Here is a 21,689-nt window from a genome sequence, read left to right as displayed (position 1 = left end):
GACTTCAAATGATCCACCCACCTCGGCCTCCCAAAGTACTGAGATTACAGGTATGAGCGATGGCACCTGACTGATTATTTTTATTTCTAAGAGATTATAGATTCATAAGAAGTTACAAAAAGAGAGGCTGGGTGTGGTGGCTCATGCCTGTAATCCCAGCACTTTGGGAGGTCAAGGAGGGCAGATCACGAGATCAGGAGTTCGAGACCAGCTTGGCCAACATGGCAAAACCCGTCTCTACTAAAAATACAAAACTTAGCTGGGCGTGGTGGCAGGTGCCTATAATCCCAGCTACTTGGAAGGCTGAGGCAGAAGAATCGCTTGAACCCAGGAGGTAGAGGTTGCGATGAGCCAAGATTTCGCCACTGCACTCCAGCCTGGGTGACACAGCAAGACTCCATCTCAAAAAAAAAAAAAAAGTACATGGTGGTCTTGTTTGCCCTTCATCCACTTACCTGATGCTAACATCTTATATAACTGTAATACAACATCAAAACAGGACATTGACATTAGTTCAATTCTAAGACCTTAATCTTCCAATTTCACTGGTTTTACTCACTCCTATGTGTACCTGTGCACATGTGTGTGTATGCAGGTGTATGCGTGTGCACCTGCACATTCCTATGTGTAGCACTAGGCAAAAATTTTTTTTAATTTTTTGAGATGGAGTCTCGCTCTGTCTCCCAGGCTGGGGTGCAGTGGTGTGATCTCAGCTCTCTGCAACCTCCACCTCCTGGGTTCAAGCAATTCTCGTGACTCAGCCTCCCGAGTAGGTGAGACTATAGGTGTGCGCTACCACGCCCAGCTAGGTTTTTTTTTTTTTTTTTTTTTTTTTTTTTTTGAGACAGAGTCTCGCTCTGTCACCCACACTGGAGTGTGGAGTGCAGTAGCACTTGAATGTAGACTGCGAGAAGTTAAAGATGTGGACTATAAACTCTACAGTGACCATTAAAAAAACAAGGCAGGTGAGGCGCGGTGGCTCACGCCTGTAATCCCAGCACTTTGGGAGGCCGAGGCGGGTGGATCACCTTAGGTCAGGAGTTTGAGACCAGCCTGGCCAACATGGCGAAACCCCATCTCTACTAAAAATACAAAAATTAGTCGGGCTTGGTGTCGGGCACCTGTAGTCCCAGCTACTCAGGAGGCTGAGGCAGGAAAATCACTTGAACCCGGGAGGCAGAGATTGCACTAAGCCGATATCGTGCCACTGCATTCCAGCCTGGGCAACAGAGTGAGACTCTGTCTCAAAAAAAATAAAATAGCTGGGCGCGGTGGCTTACACCTGTCATCCCAGCACTTTGGAAGGCTGAGGAGGGTGGATCACTTGAGGTCAGGAGTTCAAGACCAGCCTGGCCAACATGGTGAAACCCTATCTCTATTAAAACAAATTAGCTGGGCATGGTGGCAGGCGCCTATAATCCCAGCTACTCTGGAGGCTGAGTGAGGCAGGGGAATCAGTTGAACCCAGGCGGCAGAGGTTGTAGTGAGCCTAGGTCGTGCCACTGCTCTCCAGCTTGGGTGACAAGAGTGAAACTCTCAAATAAATAAATAAATAAAATAATAAAACAAAGAGCTATAGCTAATAAGCCTACAAAAGAGATAAAATGGAATCATAAAAAAATTACTTGATTAATCCAGCCAGTCATAGTGGCTCATGCCTATAATCCTAGCCCTTTGGGAGGCCAAGGCGGGAGGAATCACTTGAGCCCAGGAGTTCAAGTCCAGCCTGGGCAGCACATGAGACACCATCTCTATTAAAAAAAAAAAAAAAAATTTAACTAGGTGTGGGGGCACACGCCTATAGTCTCAGCTACTGGAGAGGCTGTGGTAGGAGGATCACTTTTGTCCAGGAGTTCGAGGCAGAAGTGAGCCATGATCACACCACTGCACTCCAGCCTGGGCAAAAGAGTGAGATCCTTGCTCAAAAAAAAAAAAAAAAAAAAAAACTTGATTAATCCAAAAGAAGGTGGAAAAAGAGAACAATGACCAGATGAATCAGGAAAAACCATGAAAATAATAGATTTTTTTTTTTTTTTTTTTTTTGAGAGTTTCACTCTTGTCATCCAGGCTAGAGTGCAATGACGGGATTTCAACTCACTGCAACCTCCACCTCCGGGGTTCAAGCAATTCTCCTGCCTCAGCCTCCCAAATAGCTGGAATTACAGGCATACGCCACCATGCCCAGCTAATTTTTGGTATATATATTTTTTTACTAGATACGGGGTTTAACCATGTTGGCCAGGCTGGTCTTGAACTGCCGACCTCAGGTGATCCACCCGCCTCGGCCTCCCAAAGTGCTGGAATTACAGGCGTGAGTCACTGCGCCCGGCCCCTAATTTTTATGTTTGTAGAGACGGTATCTCAGTATGTTGCCCAAGTTGGTCTCAAACTCCTGGCCTCAAGCAATCACTCTGCCTCTTTTCTCCACGATAACCACTCTAATAGGTGGAGAGTGACCTTGTGGTTTTCATTTGCGTTTCTCTAACGACTGAGGATGTTGAGCAGCTTTTTGTGTACTTGTTTGTCATCTGCATATCTTCGTTAGTGAAGTGTTTATTCAAATCATTTGCCCTTTTTAAATAATTGGGTTGTTTGTTTTCTAGCTATTGACTTTTAAGGGTTCTTAAAATATCTGGATACTAGTTGTTTATCAAGTATGTAATTTGCAAATATTTTCTCCCACTGTTTGGCTTATCTTTTCATTCTCCTAATAATGTTTGTTGAAGAGCAGAAGTTTTTAATTTTGATGGAATCTAATTTATCAAGATTTTCTCTTATGATCATGCTTGTACATAATGAACTTTTGCATCATCTAGGGTCACAAAGATTTTCTCCTATGTTTCCTTCTAGAAATGTTAAGTTTTGCATTTAGTGATGTGGTCCATTTTGAGTTAACTTTTGTACAGAACGTCTTTCTATTTAAAGTGTATTTTGGCCAGGTGCAGGGCTCACGCCTGTAATCCCTGCACTTTGGGAGGCTGAAGCGGGTAGATCACAAGGTCAGGTGTTTGAGACCAGCCTGGCCAACATAGTGAAACCTCATCTCTACTAAAAATACAAAAAATTAGCCGGGTGTGGTGGTGGGCACCTGTAATCCCAGCTACTTGGGAGGCTGAGGCAGGAGAATTGCTTGAACCCGGGAAGTGGAGGTTGCAGTGAGCTGAGATCATGCCACTGTACTCCAGTCTGGGCGACAGTGCAAGACTCCGTCTCACACACACACACACACAATTTCTTGTGGGCAGCATAGAGTTGGGTCATGCTTTTTCATTTAGTCTGAAATCTCTGTCTTATAATTGGATGTTTACATAATTTAGAGTCAATGCAATTATTAGTATGGTTAGGTATAAATCTATTATTTTCAGCCAGGCATGGCAGCTCACACATGTAATCCTAGCACTTTGGGAGGCCAAGGTGGGGGGATTACGCGAGGTCAGGAGTTTGAGACCAGCCTAGCAAACATGGAGAAACCCTGTCTCTACTAAAAATACAAAAAAATTAACCAGGCATGGTGGTGCATGCCTGTAATCCCAGCTACTCAGGAGGCTGAGGCACGAGAATCACTTGAACCCTGGAGGTGGAGGTTGCAGTGAGCCAAGATCATGCCACTGCACTCTAGCCTTGGTGGCAGAGTGAGATTCCATCTGGGGAAAAAAAAAAAATTCTGAATATCCTGAGACTGCCATGCTATGCAGAAGCTGAAGCTGGGCATGGCAAGAGGCAGCATGGAGAGAGAGATAGATAACTGGTCAGCCGCAGCTGATCTAGCCATCCCAACTGAGATGTCAGACATGTAAGACGCCATCTTGGATTTCCAGCCCAGCTGAGCCTTTGGATGACTCCAGCCCCAGCTGCCATCTGAATGCAACTAGTTGAGAAACTCCACCCAATCATTGGCTCATTTGGCAGGGTGCAGTAGCTCACACCTGTAATCCCAGCATTTTGGGAGGCTGAGGCACATGGATCACCTGAGGTCAGGGGTTCAAGACCAGCCTAGCCAACTTGGTGAAACCCTGTCTCTACTGAAAATACAAAAAAATTAGCTGGGGCATGGTGGTGGGTGCCTGTCATCCCAGCTACTCGGGAGGCTGAGGCAGGAGAATCGCTTGAACCCAGGAGGCGGAGGTTTGCAGTAAACCGAGATCACACCATTGCAGTCCAGCCTGGACAACAAGAGCAAAACTCCATCTCAGAAAAAAAAAAAAAAAAAGGCAAAACAAAAATCAGCCGGGTGTGGTAGCCAGCACCTGTAATCCCAGCTACTCGGGAGGCTGAGGCAGGAGAATTGCTTGAACCGGGGAGGCAGAGATTGCAGTGAGCCAAGATTGCGCCACTGCACTCCAACCTGGGCGACATAGTGAGACTCCATCTCAAAAAAAAAAGAATCGACTGGTTAAACCCACTTAACCTACTGAACCATGAGATGTCATATTTGACTGCTATTTTAAGCCAATGAGCTTTTGGGGTGGTTTGAGATTTTGGGATGGGACTGCTATTTTAAGCCAATGGGCTTTTGGGGTGAGGTGCTACCCCAAAATGCCACCCCTCCCACATCTCCTGGCAGCAGTCAGATGGCAAGGAGAGAGAATCTGTGCATTTGGGGTAGGGAGAGCTCAGTGACTGATTTGAGGCTTTGCATTGGAACTCAGCGCTGTTCTATTACAGTGGAAAGCACCATGGGGCAGAAATCAGACACCACCCATGGAGGGAGCATTTAAATGATCATTAGACAGAGGGAAATCATCTATTCTAGTGGTGAGAACCTGAGTTCTGGCATGCCTAGCCACTGCGGGCCAAAGTGCTCTGGGACCCTAAATCAACTTGAGGCTGGGCGCGGTGGCTCATGCCTGTAATCCCAGCACTTTGGGAAGCTTAGGCAGGCGGATCACGAGGTCAGGAGTTCGAGACCAGCCTCACCAACATGGTGAAACCCCGTCTCTACTAAAAATACAAAAATTAGCTGGGAATGGTGGCGCACGCCTGTAATCCCAGCTACTTAGGAGGCTGAGGCAGGAGAATCGCTTGAACCCAAGAGGCAGAGATTGCAGTGAGCCGAGAGCACGTCATTGCACTCCAGCCCGGACAACAGCAAGACTCCATCTCAAATAAATAAATAAATAAATAAATAAATAAACTTGAAAGGCAGTCAGGCCACAAGGACTGCAATTTCTGGGCAAGTCCTGGTGCCTTGCTGGGCTCAGAACAAGTGGACCTGGAGGGCATGAGGCCCACTGAGACATTGGCTGAGGCAGCCAAGGGAGTGCTTGAGCCCCCGAGCCCCAAACCCCAGGCAGTATAGCTTGCAGTTCCGGGAGAGACTCCTTCCTTCTGCTTGAGAAGAGGAGACGAAAAGTCAAGAGGTCTTTGTTTTGCAACTTGGATACCAGCTCAGCCATAGGAGGATAGGGCACCAGGCGGAGTCCTGAGGCCCCCATTCCAGGCCCTAACTCCTGGATGACATTTTTGGACACACCCTGGACCAGAAGGGAAGCCGCTGCCTTGAAAGGAAGGACCCAGTCCTGGCAGGATTCATTACTTGCTGACTAAAGATCTCTTGGGCCTTGAATAAACATCAGTGGTTGCCAGAGAGTGCTCGCCGCAGGCCTTGGGTGAGACCCAGTGCCGTGCTGATTTCAGGTGTGACCCAGCGCATTCCCAGCTGTGGTGGCCCTGGGGAAAGACTCCTGCTTGAGGAAAGGAGAGGAAAGAGTAAAGGAGACTTTGTCTTGCATCTTGGACACCAGCTTGGCCACAGTAGGGTAGAGCACCCAGCAGCTGCTGGCATCCCCAATTGAGGTCTTGGCTCTTGCACAGCATTTCTGGACCTGCCCTGGGCTAGAGGGGAGCTGTCTTCCCTGAAGGAAAAGACCCAGGCCTGGCAGCACTCACCACAAGCTGACTGAAGAGGGCCTGGGCCTTGAGTGAACATCAGCAGTAGCCAGGCAGTACCTGCCATGGGCCTGGAGCAGTGGTGGCCACAGAGAGAGACTCCTGTGTGAGGAAAAGTGAGGGAAGAGTGGTGTATTAGTCTGTTTTCATGCTGCTGATAAAGACATACCTGAGACTGGGTAATTAATAAAGAAAAAGAGGCTTAATGAACTCCCAGTTCCACGTGGCTGGGGAGGCCTCACAATCATGGCAGAAGCTGAAAGGCACGTCTTTTTTTTTTTTTTTTTTTTTTTTTTTAGATGGAGTCTCACTCTGTCACCCAGGCTGGAGTGCAGTGGCACAGTCTGGGCTAACTGCAAGCTCTGCCTCCCGGGTTCACGCCATTCTCCTGCCTCAGCCTCCAGAGTAGCTGGGATTACAGGCGCCCAGCTAATTTTTTGTAGTTTTTAGTAGAGACGGGGTTTCACCATGTTAGCCAGGATGGTCTCGATCTCCTGACCTCATGATCCACCCGCCTCGGCCTCCCAAAGTGCTGGGATTACAGGCGTGAGCTGCCATGCCTGGCCAAAAGGCACGTCTTACATGGTGGCAGGCAAGACAGAATGAGAACCAAGCCAAAGGGGTTTCCCCTTATAAAGCCATCAGATCTCATGAGACTTATTCAATACCACAAGAACAGTATGGGGGAAACTGCCCCCATGACTCACTTATCTCCCACTGGGTACCCCCTATAACATAGGGGAATTATGGGAGCTACAAATCAAGATGAGATTTGGGTGGGACACAGCCAAACCATATCAAGTAGGAAAGACTTTTTCTTGTGGCTTGGGTGCCAGCTCAGCCACAGTAGAATAGAGCACCAGGTAGATTCCTAAGGTTTCTGTCTCCAGGCCCTGGCTCCCAGATGGCATTTCTGGACCTGCCCTGGGCCAGGAGAGAACTCACCATCCTGAAGGGAAGGACACAAGCCCGGCAGGCTTCACCACCTGCTGGCCGAAGAGCCCTTGGGCCTTGTGTGAACATTGGTGGAAGCCAGGTAGTGGTTGCCACGGGCCCTGGGTGAGACCTAGTGGTGTGTTGGCTTTGGGTCTGACCCAGTGCAGTCCCAGTGGTGGTGGCCACAAGGGTACTTGTGTCACCCCTCCAGCAGCCCCAGGCAGCTCCGTACAGAGATAGAGAGACTGCGTTTGTTTGGAGAAAGTAAGGGAAGAGAAGAGTTTCTGCCTGGTAATTTAGGGAATTCTCCTGAATCTTAACCAAGACCACTGAGGCAGTACCTCTAAGATTCCTTTTTTTTTTTTTTTTGAGACAGGGTCTTACTCTGTCGCCCAGGCTGGAATGCAGTGCTGCAATCTCCACTCAGTGCAACCTCCACCTCCCATGCGCAAGTGATTCTCCCGCCTCAGCCTCCCAAGTAGCTGGGACTACAGGCGCCCACCCCTACGCCTGGCAAATTTTTGTATTTTTTGGTAGAGACAGGGTTTCACCATGTTGGCCAGGCTGGTCTCAAACTCCCGACCTCAGATGATCCGCCTGCCTAGGCTGCCCAATGTGCTGGGATTACAGGCGTGAGCCACTGCGCCTGGCCAGCACCTCTAAGATGCTGCAAGAATCACAGCATTACTGAGCCTGGGGTGCCCCCTAATGCAGATACAGCTGCAGTGACCAAAAGTTTAGTTCACAACACTCAATTTCCTGGCAAGCCTTCCCAAGAAGGATGGGTTCAAATAAGCTCAGACTACAAAGACTACAATAAACACTGAACTCATCAATGCCCAGCCATTGACGAACATCCACAAGCATTGACACCATCCAGGAAAACATGACCTCACCAAGTGAACTAAACAAGGCTCCAGTGACCAACCCCATTGTGACAGAGCTATGTGACCTTTCAGACGGAGAATTCAAAACAGCTGTTTTGAGGAAGCTCAATGAAATTCAAGATAACACAGAGAAGGGATTCAGAATCCTATCGGATAAATTAACCAAACAGATTGAAATAATTTTTAAAAATTAAGCAGAAAGGGGCTGGGCACGGTGTCTCACACCTGTAATCCCAGCATTTCGGGAGGCCGAGGCAGGTGGATCACGAGGTCATGAGATCAAGACCATCCTGGCTAACACGGTGAAACCCCATCTCTACTAAAAATACAAAAAAATTAGCCAGGCGTGGTGGTAGGCGCCTGTAGTCCCAGCTACTCGGAAGGCTGAGGCAGGAGGATGGCATGAACTCGGGAGGTGGAGCTTGCAGTGAGCGGAGATCGTGTCACTGCACCCCAGCCTGGGCGACACAGCGAGACTCCGTCTCAAAAAAAAAAAAAAAAATTAAGTAGAAAAAATTCAACTGACACACTGAAGAATGCATCAGTCTCTGAACAGTAGAATTGATCAACCTGAAGAATTGGTGAGCTCAAAGACAGGCTATTTGAAAATATGCAGTCAGGCCGGGCACAGTGGCTCATACCTGTAATCCCAGCACTTTGAAAGGCTGAAGTGGTTGGATCACCTGAGGTCAGGAGTTTGAGACTAGTTTGGCCAACATAGTGAAATCCTGTCTCTACTAAAAATAGAAAAATTAGCTGGGCATGGTGGTGCATGCCTGTAATCCCAGCTACTCAGGAGGCTGAGGCTCCAGAATTGATTGAACGCAGGAAGTGGAGGTTGTAGTGAGCCAAGATTGCAGCACCACTGCACTCCAGCCTGGTCGACAAAGTGAGACTCTGTCTCAAAAAGAGAAGAGAAGAGAGGAGAGGAGAGGAGGAGAAGAGAAGAGAAGAAAGAAGAGAAGAGAACAGAAGAGAAGAGAACAGAAGAGAACAGAAGAGAAGAGAAAAGAGATGAGACAGGACAAGACACAGCCAGAGGAGACAAAAGAAAAAATAAAAAAGAATAAAGGCCAGGCGCAGTGGCTCACACCTGTAATCCCAGCACTTTGGGAGGCCGAGGCAAGCGGATCACGAGGTCAGGAGTTTGAGACCATCCTGGCCAACATGGTGAAACCCCATCTCTACCAAAATACAAAAAATTAGCCAGGTGTAGTGGCAGGCACCTGTAATCCCAGCTACTCGGGAGGCTGAGGCAGGGGAATTGCTTGAACCCGGGAGGCGGAGGTTGCAGTGAGCCAAGATCGTGCCACTGTGCTCCAGCCTGGAGACAGAGCAAGACTCCATCTCAAAAAAAAAAAAAAAAAAAAAAAAAGAATAAGGCACACCTACAAGATCTAGAAAATAGCCACAAAAAGGAAAAATCTGAGTTTTATTGGCCGTAAAGAGAAAGTAGAGAGATTGGAATAGAAAGTTTATTAAGTGGGATAATAACAGAGAACTTTCCAAACCTAGAAAAAGATATCAATATTCAAATACGAGAAGGTTATAGAACACTAGGCAGATTTAACCCAAAGACTACCTTCAAGGCATTTAATAATCAAACTCCCAAAGATCAGGGATAAAGAAAGGGTCCTAAAAGCAGCAAGAGAAAAGTAACAAATAACTTACAATGGAGGCCGTGTGCAGTGGTTCACGTCTGTAATCCCCAGCATTTAGGGAGGCTGAGGCGGGTGAATCACTTGAGGCCAGGAGTTACAGACCAGTCTGGGCAACATGGTGAAATCCCGTCTCGACTAAAAATACAAAAAAAATTAGCCAGGCATGAGGCCAGGCGCAGTGGCTCACACCTGTAATCCCAGCTACTCGGGAGGCTGAGGCACGAGAATCGCTTGAACCTGGGAGGTGCAGGTTGCAGTGAGCCGAGATTTCGTCACTGTACTCCAGCCTGGGTGACTGAGTGAGACTCTGTCTCAAAAACAAAAACAAAAACAAACATACAATGGAGCTCCAATACGTCTGGCAGCAGACTTCAGTGGAAACCTCACAGGCTAGGATAGAGTGGCACGACATATTGAAAGTGATGAAGTTGGCTGGGTGCGGCGGCTCACGCCTGTAATCCCAGCACTTTGGGAGGCTGAGACAGGTGGATCACCTGAGGTCAGGAGTTCAAGACCAGCCTGGCCAACATGGCGAAACCTTGTCTCTACTAAAAATACAAAAAAGTTAGCTGAGCGTGGTGGCGGGTGCCTGTAATCCCAGCTACTTGGGAGGCTGAGGCAGGAGAATTGCTTGAACCTGGGAGGCGGAGGTTGCAGTGAGCCGAGCTCGCACCACTGCACTCCAGAGCCTGGGCAACAAAGCAAGACTCTGAAAACAAAACAAAACAAACAAACAAAAAAACCCCTTCCCCATATGGTTCTAAGTTAGAGTTGGCCAAAGGAGAAAATTGCATGAAAACTGGAAGAAAGAAGTTTAGCACAGTATTTTTCTTGGACGGTTGCTCTATTTAGATGGGGGAAAAGACAGATGTAGATGCATTAGGGGGTTCCCATTTGCTCTCGCTCTGCCCTGCAGGGTGAGACAGATGCAAGTGTTCGGGACCTTGTTTCCCCCACACTCCTGTTTATCTCTTCTCAATTTTCTGCCCTGCTAACCACCAGTGACCTCGGGCTCAACATCAGATGCAGAGGCAACAGCCTTCCATGACTCTGATAGTTGGATATGCCTGACTTCCCAGATTTTCCTGCAAACTCTGACTTGTTCCCCTGTCTAGTGCTTCAGGAGGGCTGGCTAGAGATTTTTCATGGACTCCCTAACTCTCCTTTCTAGATCTTTTTTTTTTTTTTTTTTTTTTTTTGAGACGGAGTCTCGCTCAGCCACCCAGGCTGGAGTGCAGTGGTGCAATCTTGGGTCACTGCAACCACCATCTCCCAGGTTCAAGCAATTCTCCTGTTTCAGCCTCCTGAGTAGCTGGGATTACAGGCACCCACCATCATGCCTGGCTAATTTTTGTATTTTAGTGGAGACGGGGTTTCACCATGTTGGCCAGGCTGGTCTTGAACTCCTGACCTCAGGTGATCCACCCGCCTCGGCCTCCCAACGTGCTAGGATCACAGGGGGAGCCACCACACCCAGCCTCTAAATCTTCTTTTTTATTCTTTTTCTTCTTCTTCTTTTTTTTTGGTGGTTGTTGTTGAGACAGAGTCTCACTCCATTGCCCAGGCTGGAGTGCAGTGGCACAATCTCAGCTTACTGCAAACTCCACCTCCCGGGTTCAAGTGATTCTCATGCCTCAGCCTCCTGGGTAGCTGGAATTACAGGCACCTGCCACCACACCCAGCTAATTTTTGTTTACTTTGTAGAGACAGGGTTTCGCCATGTTGCCCAGGCTGGTCTTGAACTCCTGAGCTCTAGCAAATCTTCCCACCTTGGTCTCCCAAAGTGCTAGGATTACAGGTGTGAGCCACCGCACCTGGACTTCTTTTTCTTTTTTTGAGATAAGGTCTCACTGTGTCACCCAGGCTGGAGTGCAGTGGCACGATCATAGCTCACTGCAGCCATAAGGGAGTAAAGGAAAGAACACCCCTCAGCCCCCTCCACTCCCAGCATCCCACCCACCTGCTGAGGTCCCACTTGGGTCCCTGTGCCCAGGAAACCCCGTGGGCCCCTGTGGGACCATACCCCCTGCAAGAAGCCATGGCTTCTGAGCACTTCCCCACTCAAACTCTTCTGAGTCACTGATCTCTCTCAGACACTTTCCTAAAATTGATTTTTTTTTTTTTTGAGACAGTCTTGCTCTGTTGCCCAGGCTGGAGTGCAGTGGCCCCATCTCGGCTCACTGCAAGCTCTGCCTCCCAGGTTCACGCCATTCTCCTGCCTCAGCCTCCCACGTAGCTGGGACTACAGGCACCCGCCACCATGCCTGGCTAATTTTTTGTATTTTTAGTATTTTTAGTAGAGACAGGGTTTCACCGTGTTAGCCAGGATGGTCTTGATCTCCTGACCTTATGATCCACCCGCCTCGGCCTCCCAAAGTGCTAGGATTACAGGCGTGAGCCACCGCTCCCGGCTAAGAGTTTTTTCCTTTTCAATTCTCTCACTTACCCAAAGACCCCTGCCTCCTGCTCATCAAATTCACTCCCATCTCCCTAAATTCCCTCAGGAATATTCCCCTAGCACCTCCTCCTTGGCAGGCTCAGTGCTGTGGGACACTGAGGACCACCCAGAGGGGTCAGACCTACCCTGACCTCAGACCTCCTAGCTCAGCCTCACCTGGACCATGGACACCATGTTGCATTATATTTGAGACAGAGTCTCGCTATGTCACCCAGGCTAGACTGCACTGGTGCGATCTCAGCTCACTGCAACCTCCATCTCCTGGGCTCAAGCAATTCTCGAGCTTCAGCCACCCAAGTAGCTGGGATCATAGGCATGTGCCACCATGCCTGGGCAACAGAATGAGATCCTGTCTCAAAAAAAAATAAAAAATTAAAAAATAAAGTAGCACCTAACAGAATTTAAAATGTACTCACCCTTTGACCCAACAACTCCACATCTGGAAATGTGTTTCTTTCCAAGATACCCATACATGTGGGAAATGAATATATTCAAAGATATTCTTTGCCACACCATATGTAGTCACAAACAATAGGGAACACCCTGAATGATCATCAATAGGGGAATGACTAGCAGATGGCTTGGTCACCGTATAAGTAAACAGAATGGCTCAGCTGTTTTTCATTCTGATTAGAATGCTCTCCAAGACATATGACTACTTGAAAAAGGCAGGCTGGGCACGGTGGCTCACGCCCGTAATCCCACCACTTTGGGAGGCCAAGGCGGGTGGATCACCTGAAGTTGGGAGGTCGAGACCAGCCTGGCCAACATGGTGAAACCTTGTCTCTACTAAAAACACAAAAATTAGCCAAGCGTGGTGGTGCACACCTATAGTCCCAGCTACTCGGGAGGCTGAGGCAGGAGAATCACTTGAAGCCAGGAGGCGGAGATTGCAGTGCACTGAGGTCATGCCATTGCACTCCAGCCTGGCCAACAAGAGAGAAACTCTGAGGAAGGAAGGAAGGAGGGAGGAAGGGAGAGAGGGAGGGAGGGAGGGAGGGAGGGAAGGAGGGAGGGAGGAGAACAGTAGGCTTCCATGTAAATTAAATATACATTTGTGGCTGGGCCCTGTGGCTCATGCCTATAATCCCAACACTTTGGGAGGCCAAAGTGGGCGGATCACTTGAGTGCAGGAGTTCAAGACCAGCCTGGGCAACATTCCAAAACCCCGTCTCTGGTAAAATTACAAAAAGTAACTGGGCATGGTGGTGTGAACCTGTAGTCCCAGCTACTCGGGTGGCTGAGGTGGGAGGACTGCCTGAGCCCAGGAGGTCTAGGCTACAGTTAGCCATGACCATGCCACCGCACCTTAGGAAGGTGGCAGAGTGAGACCCTGCCTCAAAAAGAATAAAAAATTGGCCAGGCGCGGTGGCTCACACCTGTAATCCCAGCACTTTGGGAGGCAGAGGTGGGTGGATCACACGAGGTCAGGAGTTCAAGCCCAGCCTGACCAACATGCAGAAACCCCATCTCTACTACGTGCTGGCGCATGCCTGTAATCCCATCTACCGGGAGGCTGGGGCAGGAGACTCGCTTGAACTGGGAGGCGGAGATTGCAGTGAGCTGAGATCATGTCATTGCACTCCAGCCTGGGCAACAAGAGCGAAACTCCATCTCAAAAAAAAAAAAAAAAGTATAACACACATACCAGAGTTCACAAATTTTTAGTGTGAACACAAATCTTTAATTTCCACCCCTATGAAGAAATACAATATTGACAGTGGCTCAGATGCAACCCTTCATGCAGTCATTACCCCTTGCCTCCTCCCCAATTAACTGCTGTCCTGACCTTCAACACCCCTAGCATGGTTTTGCCTGGTTCTGACTGGAGATAAGTGGAATCATACGGTATGTGCTCTGGCTTTGTTGGTGGAACATTATGCTTGTGAGATACATTCATGTTGTGTACAGCAGAAGGTCATTCGTGTTCATTGCTATAATGTCTGTTGTATGAATGTAGCATGCTTTACTTACCCAGTCACCAATGGATTGACATTTAGATTGTGTCTAGTTTGAAGGTACAAACAATTTATCTAAGCACACTGTCTTTTGGAACACATATGTGCTCATAATAAACAAGAGGGAAATAAATGGAACGATCGCGGGTGTATTAGTCTGTTTTTATACTGCTATAAATAAATACCTGAGAAATTGGCTGGGCGCGGTGGCTCATGCCTGTAATCCCAGCACTTTGGGAGGCTGAGGCAGGTGGATCACCTGAGGTTAGGAGTTCGAGACCAGCCTGACCAATATGGTGAAACCCCATCTCTACTAAAAATACAAAAATTAGGCAGACATGGTGGCACAGGCCTAAAATCCCAGCTACTTGGGAGGCTGAGGCAGGAGAATTGCTTGAACCTGGGAGGCAGAGGTTGCAGTGAGCTGAGATCGTGCCACTGCACTCTAGCCTGGGCGACAAAGTGAGACTCCATCTCATTAAAAAAAAAAAAAAAAAAAAAAAAAGGCCAGGCGCGGTGGCTCACACCTGTAATCCCAGCACTTTGGGAGGCCAAGGAGGGCGGATCGTGAGGTCAGGAGATCGAGACCATCCTGGCTAACACGGTGAAACCCCTTCTCTACTAAAAATACAAAAAAATTAGCTGGGCGTGGTGGTGGGTGCCTGTAGTCCCGGCTACTCAGGAGGCTGAGGCAGGAGAATGGCATGAACCTGGGAGGAGGAGCTTGCAGTGAGCCGAGATCACACCACTGCACTCCAGCCTGGGCGACAGGGCAAGACTCCATCTCAAAAACAAAAACAACAACAACAAAAAAAAAACAGAAAAAATGGAATAGAAACTTCAGTGACTACACAGCAAAAGGAATACACATTTTGCAAAAACAGTTTTAAAAAGTCAAACAGATGGCTCTAGCCCTTGACAAGCAAAACCCAGCAATCTCCAAGGAAAGGGTGAATCCAATTTCAATAATTAACATATTATAATACTCCAAAAGTCCAATTTTCAACAAAAATACTACAAAACATACAAAGAAACGGGCAAGTATGGCTTATTTATAGTAAAAAAAAGTTCTTTTGACAGAGACCATCTCTGAGGAAGCACAGACATTGGAATTACTAGTCACAGACATCATCGACTGTCTTAAATATGCTTTATGAGCTAAAGGAAACCATAGACAAAGAATAAATGGAAATCAGGAAAATGATATACAACCAATATACAAACAACATGAGAAAATCAATAAAGAGATAGCAATTATGAGGAGGCAGGGGAAGATGGCTGAATAGAAGCCTCCAGTAATCATCTCCTTCAGAAGAACAACCAGCTGAACAACTATCCACACAAAAAAGCACTTCATAAGAACCAAAATCAGGTGAGCGAACACAGTACCTGGTTTTAACTTCATATCACTGAAAGAGCCACTGAACGGGGTAGCAAAAATAGTCTCTTTTTTTTTTTTTTTTTTTTTTTTTTTTGAGACGGAGTTTTGCTCTTGTTGCCCAGGCTGGAGTGCAATGGAGTGATCTCGGCTCACAGCAACCTCCGCCTCCTGGGTTCAAGTATTCTCCTGCCTCAGCCTCCTGAGTAGCTGGGATTACACGCGTGTGCCACAACACCCGGCTAATTTTGTATGTTTAGTAGACACGGGGTTTCACCGTGTTGGTCAGGCTGGTCTCGAACTCCTGACCTCAGGTGATCTGCCTGCCTCAGCCTCCCAGAGTGCTGGGATTACAGGCGTGAGCCACCACGCCTGGCTTGAAATGTCTTCCTCACACTGGAGGAGATAAGCGGGAAGAATAAAGAGGTCTTTGTTTTGCACCTTGGATATCAGCTCAGCCACCGTAGGATAGCGCACCAAGCAGGGTCCTGAGGGCCCCATTCCAGGCTCTAGCTTCAAGGCGATTTCTAGAAACATCTGGGCCAGAAAAGAAACTGCTGCCTTGAAGGAAATAGCCCAGTCCAGGCAGGATTCATTACCTGCTGACTAAAGGACCCTTGAATAATCAGCAGCAGTACCCAGGCAGTACTCCGTGTGGGCCTTGAGTGAGACTCAGAGACACACTGACTTCAGATATGACCCAGCATATTCCCTGACGTGGTGACTACGGGGAGAGGCTCCTACTGCTCAAGGAAGCGGGAGGGAAGAGTAAAGGGGCCTTTGTCTGGCAGCTTAGTTACCAGCTCGGCCACAGTGGAGTAGAGCACCAAGTTGGCTCTTGGGGGTCCCTGATTCCAGGCCTTGGCTCTTGGATGTCATTTCTGGACCTACCTTTGGCCAGAGGGGAGCCCACTGCCCTGAAGGGAGAGACCCAGGCCTGGCAGCCTTCACACAAGCTGACTGAAGAGACCTTGGTCCTTAAATGAACACCGGCAGTAGCCAAGCAGTAGCTGCCATGGTCCTGGGGCAGTGGTGGCCACAGGGAGAGGCTCCCCTGCTTGCAGAAAAAAGAGTGGGGAAGATTTTGTCTTGTGGCTTGTGTGCCAGCTCAGCCACAGTAGAACAGAGTACCAGGTAGAGTCCCTAAGGTTTCCAACTCCAGGCCCTGGCTCCCAGATGGCATCTCTGGGCGCACCTGTGATGGGGGGCTCACACCACACTGAAAGGATGAACACAAGCCTGGCTGGATTTGCCGTCTGCTCCTCACAGAGCCCTAGGGCCTTCAGTGGACATAGGTGGTACCCAGGCAGTGCTGACCACGGGCCTTGGGGGAGACCCCGTGTTGGGCTGGCTACACGTCTGACCCAGCACAGTCCCAGCACTGGTGGCCACAGCAGTGCTTGTATCACCCTTCCCCCAGCTCCAGGCAGCTCAGCACAGAGAGACTCCATTTGTTTGGGAGAAAAGGAAGAAGACAAGAATCTCTGCCTGATAATCCAGAGAATTCTTCCAGATCTTATCCAAGACCACCAAGGCAGTGTCTCTACAAGTCTCCAAGGGCCACGGCATTCCTGGGCTTGGGGTGCCCCCTGATGCAGATACAGCTGCAGTGACTAAAGACTTAGATCGCAACACAAAAGTCTTTTCAATACCTGGAAAGCCTTCCAAAGAAGGATGAGTACAGACAAGCCCAGACTGTGAAGACTATAATAAATACCTAACTCTTCAGTGCCCAGAAATGTATGAACATCCTCAGGTAACAAAACCATCCAGGAAAACATGACCTCACCACAGAAACTAAATAAAGCCGGCCGGGCACAGTGGCTCATGCCTGTAATACCAGCACTTTGGGAGGCCGAGGCGGGCAGATCACCTGAGGTTGGGAGTTCAAGACCAGCCTGACCAACATGGAGAAACCCTATCTCACTAAAAATACAAAATTAGCTGGGCGTGGTGGTGCATGCCTGTAATCCCAGCTACTCGGGAGGCTGAGGCATGAGAATCGCTTCAACCAGGGAGGCGGAGGTTGTGGTGAGCCGAGATCGTGCCATTGCACTCCAGCCTGGGCAACAAGAGCAAAACTCTGTCTCAAAAAAAATAAAAAAATAAAATAAAAAATAAACTAGGCTGGGTGTGGTGGCTCACGCCTGTAATCCCAGCACTTTGGGAGGCCGAGGCGGGCGGATCGTGAGGTCAGGAGATCGAGACCATCCTGACTAACATGGTGAAACCCCGTCTCTACTAAAAAAACAAAAAATTAGCCGGGCGTGGTGTCGGGTGCCTGTGGTCCCAGCTACTCAGGAGGCTGAGGCAGGAGAATGGCGTGAACCTGGGAGGCAGAGCTTGCAGTGAGCCGAGATTGCGCCACTGCACTCCAGCCTGGGCGACAGAGCAAGACTCTCTCTCAAAAAATAAAATAAAATAAAATAAAATAAAATAAAATAAAATAAAATAAAAGCATCAGTGACCAATCATAGAGAGACAGAGATACGTGACCTTTCAGACAGATAATTGATTAGCTGTTCTGGGGTTGGGTGCAGTGGCTGGCGCCTGTAATCCCAGCATTTTGGGAGGCTGAGGTGGGCAGATCACTTGAGCTCAAGAGTTCGAGACCAGCCTGGGCAACATGGCAAAACCCCGTTTCTACAAAAAAAATACAAAAATTGGCCAGGCATGGTAGTGTGCACCTGTGGTCCCAGCTACTCAGGAGGCTAAGGTGAGAGGATGGTTAGAGCGCAGGAGGTGGAGGTTGCAGTAAGCCAAGACTGTGGCACTGCACTCCAGCCTGGGTGATAGAGCCAGATCTTGTCTCAACAAGAAACAAACAAACAAAAACTATATATATGGGTGGGGGAGAGAGAGAGAGAGAGAGAAGGAGGGGTCTGTTTTGAGGAAACTCAACAAAATTCAAGATAACACAGAAGAAATTCAGAATTCTATCAGATAAATTAAACAAAGAGATTGAAATAATTAAAAGAATCAGGCAGAAGTTCTGGAGTTGAAAAATTCAATTGACAAACTAAAGAATGCATCAGAGTCTCTCACCAGCAGAATTAATCAAGCAGAAGAAAAAATTAGTGGCTGGGCATGGTGACTGATGCCTGTAATCCCAGTACTTTGGGAGGCCAAGGCAGGAGGGTCACTGGAGCCTAGGAGCTTGAGACGAGGCCAGGTTACATAGCAAGACCCCTTTCTCTATCTTAGAAAAAGAAAAAAAAAGAAATAATTAGTGAACTTGAAGAAAGGCTATTTGAAAATACACAGAGGAGACAAAAGATAAAAGAATAAAGCATACCTACAAAATCTAGAAAATAGCCTCAAAAGGACAAATCTAAGAATTACTGGACTTAAAGAGGAGGTAGAGAGAGACAGAGGTAGAAGGTTTATCTAAAGGAATAATAACACAGAACTTCCCAAATCTACAGAAGGATATCGGTATTCAAATGTAAGAAGGTTATAGAACACCAAGCAGATTTAACCCAAAGAAGACTACCTGCCGGGCGTGGTGGCTCACGCCTGTAATCCCAACACTTTGGGCGGGCGGATCACCTGAGATCGGGAGTTTGAGACCAGCCTGGCCAACATGGAGAAACCCCATCTCTACTAAAAAATACCAAAAAAAAAAAAAAAAAAGCCAGGCTTGGTGGCACATGCCTATAATCTCAGCTATTCGGGAGGCTTAGGCAGGAGAATCACTTGAACCTGGGAGGTAGAGGTTGTGGTGAGGTGAGATCGCACCATTACACTCCAGCCTGGGCAACAAGAGCGAAACTCCGTCTCAAAAAAAGAAAAAAAAAAAAAAGAAGACTACCTCAAGTCCTTTAATAATCAAACTCCCAAAGGTCAAGGATAAAGAAAGAATCCTAAAAGCAGCAAGACAGAAGTAACAAATAACATTCAATGGCGCTCTGGCTGGGTGCAGTGGCACATACTTGTAATCCCAGCACTTTGGGAGGCCAAGGTGTGTGGATCACTTGAGGTCAGGAGTTTGAGACGAGGCTGGCCAACATGGTGAAACCTTATCTCTATTAAAAATATAAAAATTAGCCAGTGGGGTTGGGGAGGTGGCAGAGGAGGGGATGGATGGTTAATGGGTACAAAAATAATAATTAGAAAGAACAGCCGGGCACAGTGACTCATGCCTGTAATCCCAGCACTTTGGGAGCCCAAGGCGGGAGGATCACCTGAGGTCAGGAGTTTGAGACTAGCCAGGCCAACATGGTGAAACCCCATCTCTACTACAAATACAAAAATTAGCTGGGCAGAGGCAGAGGTTGCAGTGAGCAGAGATCACGCCACTGCACCCCAGCCTGGGCAACAGAGCAAGACTCTGCCTCAAAATAGTAATAATAATAATAGGCTGGGAGTGTTGGCTCATGCCTGTAATCCCAGCACCTTGGGAGGCCAAGGTGGGTGGATCACCTGAGGTCAGGAGTTCGAGACCAGTCTGACCAACGTGGTGAAACCCCGTCTCTACTAAATATAAAAAATTAGCCAGGCATGGGGGCGCGTGCCTGTAATCCCAGCTACTTGGGAGGCTGAGGCAGGAGAATTGCTTGAACAAGGGAGTCACAGGTTGCAATGAGCCAAGAATGCACCATTGCACTCCAGCCTGGGCAACAAGAGTGAAACTCTGTCTCAAATAATAATAATAATAATAATAATAATAATAATAATAATTAGAAAGAATGAATAAGATCTACTATTTGACAGCACATCCGGGTGACTAGTTGTACATTTTAAAGTAACTAAAAGAAGCCGGGCGCTGTGGCTCACACCTGTAATCCCAGCACTTTGGGAGGCTGAGATGGGGGACTGCTTGAGGCCAAGAGTTCTGTACAAGCCTGGTCAACATGGCAGAGACTATCTCTATTAAAAAGAAAAAAAATAACGAAAAGGGTGTAATTGACCAGTTGCGGTGGCTCATGCCTATAATCCCAGCACTCTGGGAGGCTGAGGCAGGCAGATCACCTGAGGTTGGGAGTTCGAGACCAGCCTGGCCAACATGGTGAAACCTTGACTCTACTAAAAATACAAAAATTAGTCGGACATAGTGGCATACACTTGTAATCCCAGCTACTCGGGAGGCCGAGGCAGGAGAATTGCTTGAACCCAGGAGGCAGAGGTTGCAGTGAGCTGAGATCACGCTGCTGCACTCCAGCCTGGGCGACAGAGTGAGGCTCTCTCTCAAAAAAAAATGTGTAATTGGATTGTAACATAGAGTAAATGCTTGAGGGAGTGGATACCCCATTTTCTATGTTGTAATTGTTACATATTGCATGCCTGTATCAAAACATCTCATAATGTACCCCATAAATATATACATCTACTATGTACCCACAAAAAATTAAAAAATTAAAAAAAAATAAAGTGCACGGGAGGGTATGCATAGGTTATGTGCACATACTAGGCCATTTTGTATTAGGGTCTGGGGCATCAGTGGGGGTCCTGGAAGGAATCCCCCACAGGTACCCAAGTGAGGACTTTACCTTTGTATATTACGCGAGTTTTCCAACAGAGGGCAGTAAAGAGTTGGAGGAAGAGGTGCCAGGTGGGCTAGGACTCTGTTTCACTCTGGCGACATTCTCACAGTCGAGCAGCTTCCTCAAGCGTCCCTGCGCATACAGCATGCCACATTGTTCACTGGGCGAGAGGGAACAGGCTGTGTCACCCCAACAGTCCCAAGGAGACCAGATGGGGCCAGGTGAAGGGTGATCACAAAGGGCCCTGGGTCAGTGTGCGATGCCTGCAGCTTGGCGGGGCTCCCCAAGCAGGTGTGGGGACATACCCAGCATCTCAATCTCTAGGCCCTGCAGCTCTGCCTTAATGGCCCCAAAGATCTCCAAGCCTCCAGCGAAGTTGGCCACAATGACTCCTGTGGTCCTGCTGTGAAGCCGCTCTGGAAAGAGAGGTGTTGGGGAGTCAGGCCCTTAACCGAGGTCGCCCCCAATCGTGTCCCCTCCCTAGCCCCTGGCCCTGTCCCTCCCATGGCCCCAGCCCCCATCCCTGTCCCAGTTCCATTCTAGATTCTGCTCTTGGCTGGACATCAGCTCCAGCCCCTGACCCTGACCCTGACCCCTGCCCCAGTCCCTATCCTGGAATTCTCCCAGCCTGGTCCTCCTGGCCTCCACCCATCTCCTTTGCCTCCTGCTCCAACTAGCTCAGGTTTCTACTGATGAGGATGATGTTCAGACCTCTCCAGTGGAGCTGCAGGGGATTCATTCATTAAGTCAACAAATAGTGACTGCCTGCTGACTGCCTGTTATACAATGTTGCTATAGGCACTGCCCATACAGAGCTGAGTGCCAGAGAAAAACAAAATTGCAAAGGCTCTGTCTGGCAGCTTAGAGGACAGCCCAGAGTCCAGTATTACTCAGTGAAGTGGCCAGTTGTCTATGAGCTCAGCGAGATGGACCCAGGACCAGATCATAGGGCCTCCAATGTCCCAGTAAAGACTGTGGTGTTGAGGCTGGGTGTGGTGGCTCATGCCTGTAACCCTAGCACTTTTTTTTTGTTGTTGTT

At 48.3% G+C, this 21,689-nt stretch overlaps 1 protein-coding gene across 5 annotated transcripts in view, besides 4 other annotated features; it reads right to left on the bottom strand.

Annotated features, from left to right (window-relative positions):
• BLOC1S3 (biogenesis of lysosomal organelles complex 1 subunit 3) overlaps positions 1-21,689 on the bottom strand; it is a 38,300-nt gene that overhangs the window by 8,687 nt on the left and 7,924 nt on the right. For 2 of the 5 annotated variants that reach the window (XR_007066811.1, XR_007066812.1), the window contains exons 2-4: positions 20,956-21,066; positions 20,657-20,810; positions 5,890-5,991 (exon numbers count right to left, since the gene is read on the bottom strand). The gene's annotated coding sequence lies outside the window, so the exon portion shown is untranslated. Of the gene's footprint in view, positions 1-3,168; positions 5,992-20,656; positions 20,811-20,955; positions 21,067-21,689 lie in introns of those variants that run through there. The other 3 variants (XR_007066813.1, XR_007066810.1, XR_001753683.2) reach the window with 3 other exon arrangements.
• Positions 2,252-2,546: a silencer, noted in NCBI's record as "tiled region #12921; HepG2 Repressive non-DNase unmatched - State 23:Low, and K562 Repressive DNase matched - State 8:EnhW". NCBI's record gives its function as "represses a minimal TATA promoter and a strong SV40 promoter by Sharpr-MPRA in HepG2 and K562 cells {active_cell/tissue: HepG2 | K562}" and the evidence as "EXISTENCE:reporter gene assay evidence [ECO:0000049][PMID:27701403]".
• Positions 20,771-20,820: a silencer, noted in NCBI's record as "silent region_10758". NCBI's record gives its function as "represses an Ori minimal core promoter by ATAC-STARR-seq in GM12878 lymphoblastoid cells {active_cell/tissue: GM12878}" and the evidence as "EXISTENCE:reporter gene assay evidence [ECO:0000049][PMID:35858748]".
• Positions 20,911-21,000: an enhancer, noted in NCBI's record as "active region_14790". NCBI's record gives its function as "activates an Ori minimal core promoter by ATAC-STARR-seq in GM12878 lymphoblastoid cells {active_cell/tissue: GM12878}" and the evidence as "EXISTENCE:reporter gene assay evidence [ECO:0000049][PMID:35858748]".
• Positions 21,332-21,626: a silencer, noted in NCBI's record as "tiled region #2997; K562 Repressive non-DNase unmatched - State 23:Low". NCBI's record gives its function as "represses a minimal TATA promoter and a strong SV40 promoter by Sharpr-MPRA in K562 cells {active_cell/tissue: K562}" and the evidence as "EXISTENCE:reporter gene assay evidence [ECO:0000049][PMID:27701403]".

This window comes from Homo sapiens, chromosome 19 (genome assembly GCF_000001405.40).
Source record: "Homo sapiens chromosome 19, GRCh38.p14 Primary Assembly".
Taxonomy (NCBI): Eukaryota; Metazoa; Chordata; class Mammalia; order Primates; family Hominidae; genus Homo; species Homo sapiens.
This window is presented reverse-complemented; position numbering and strand designations above follow the sequence as displayed.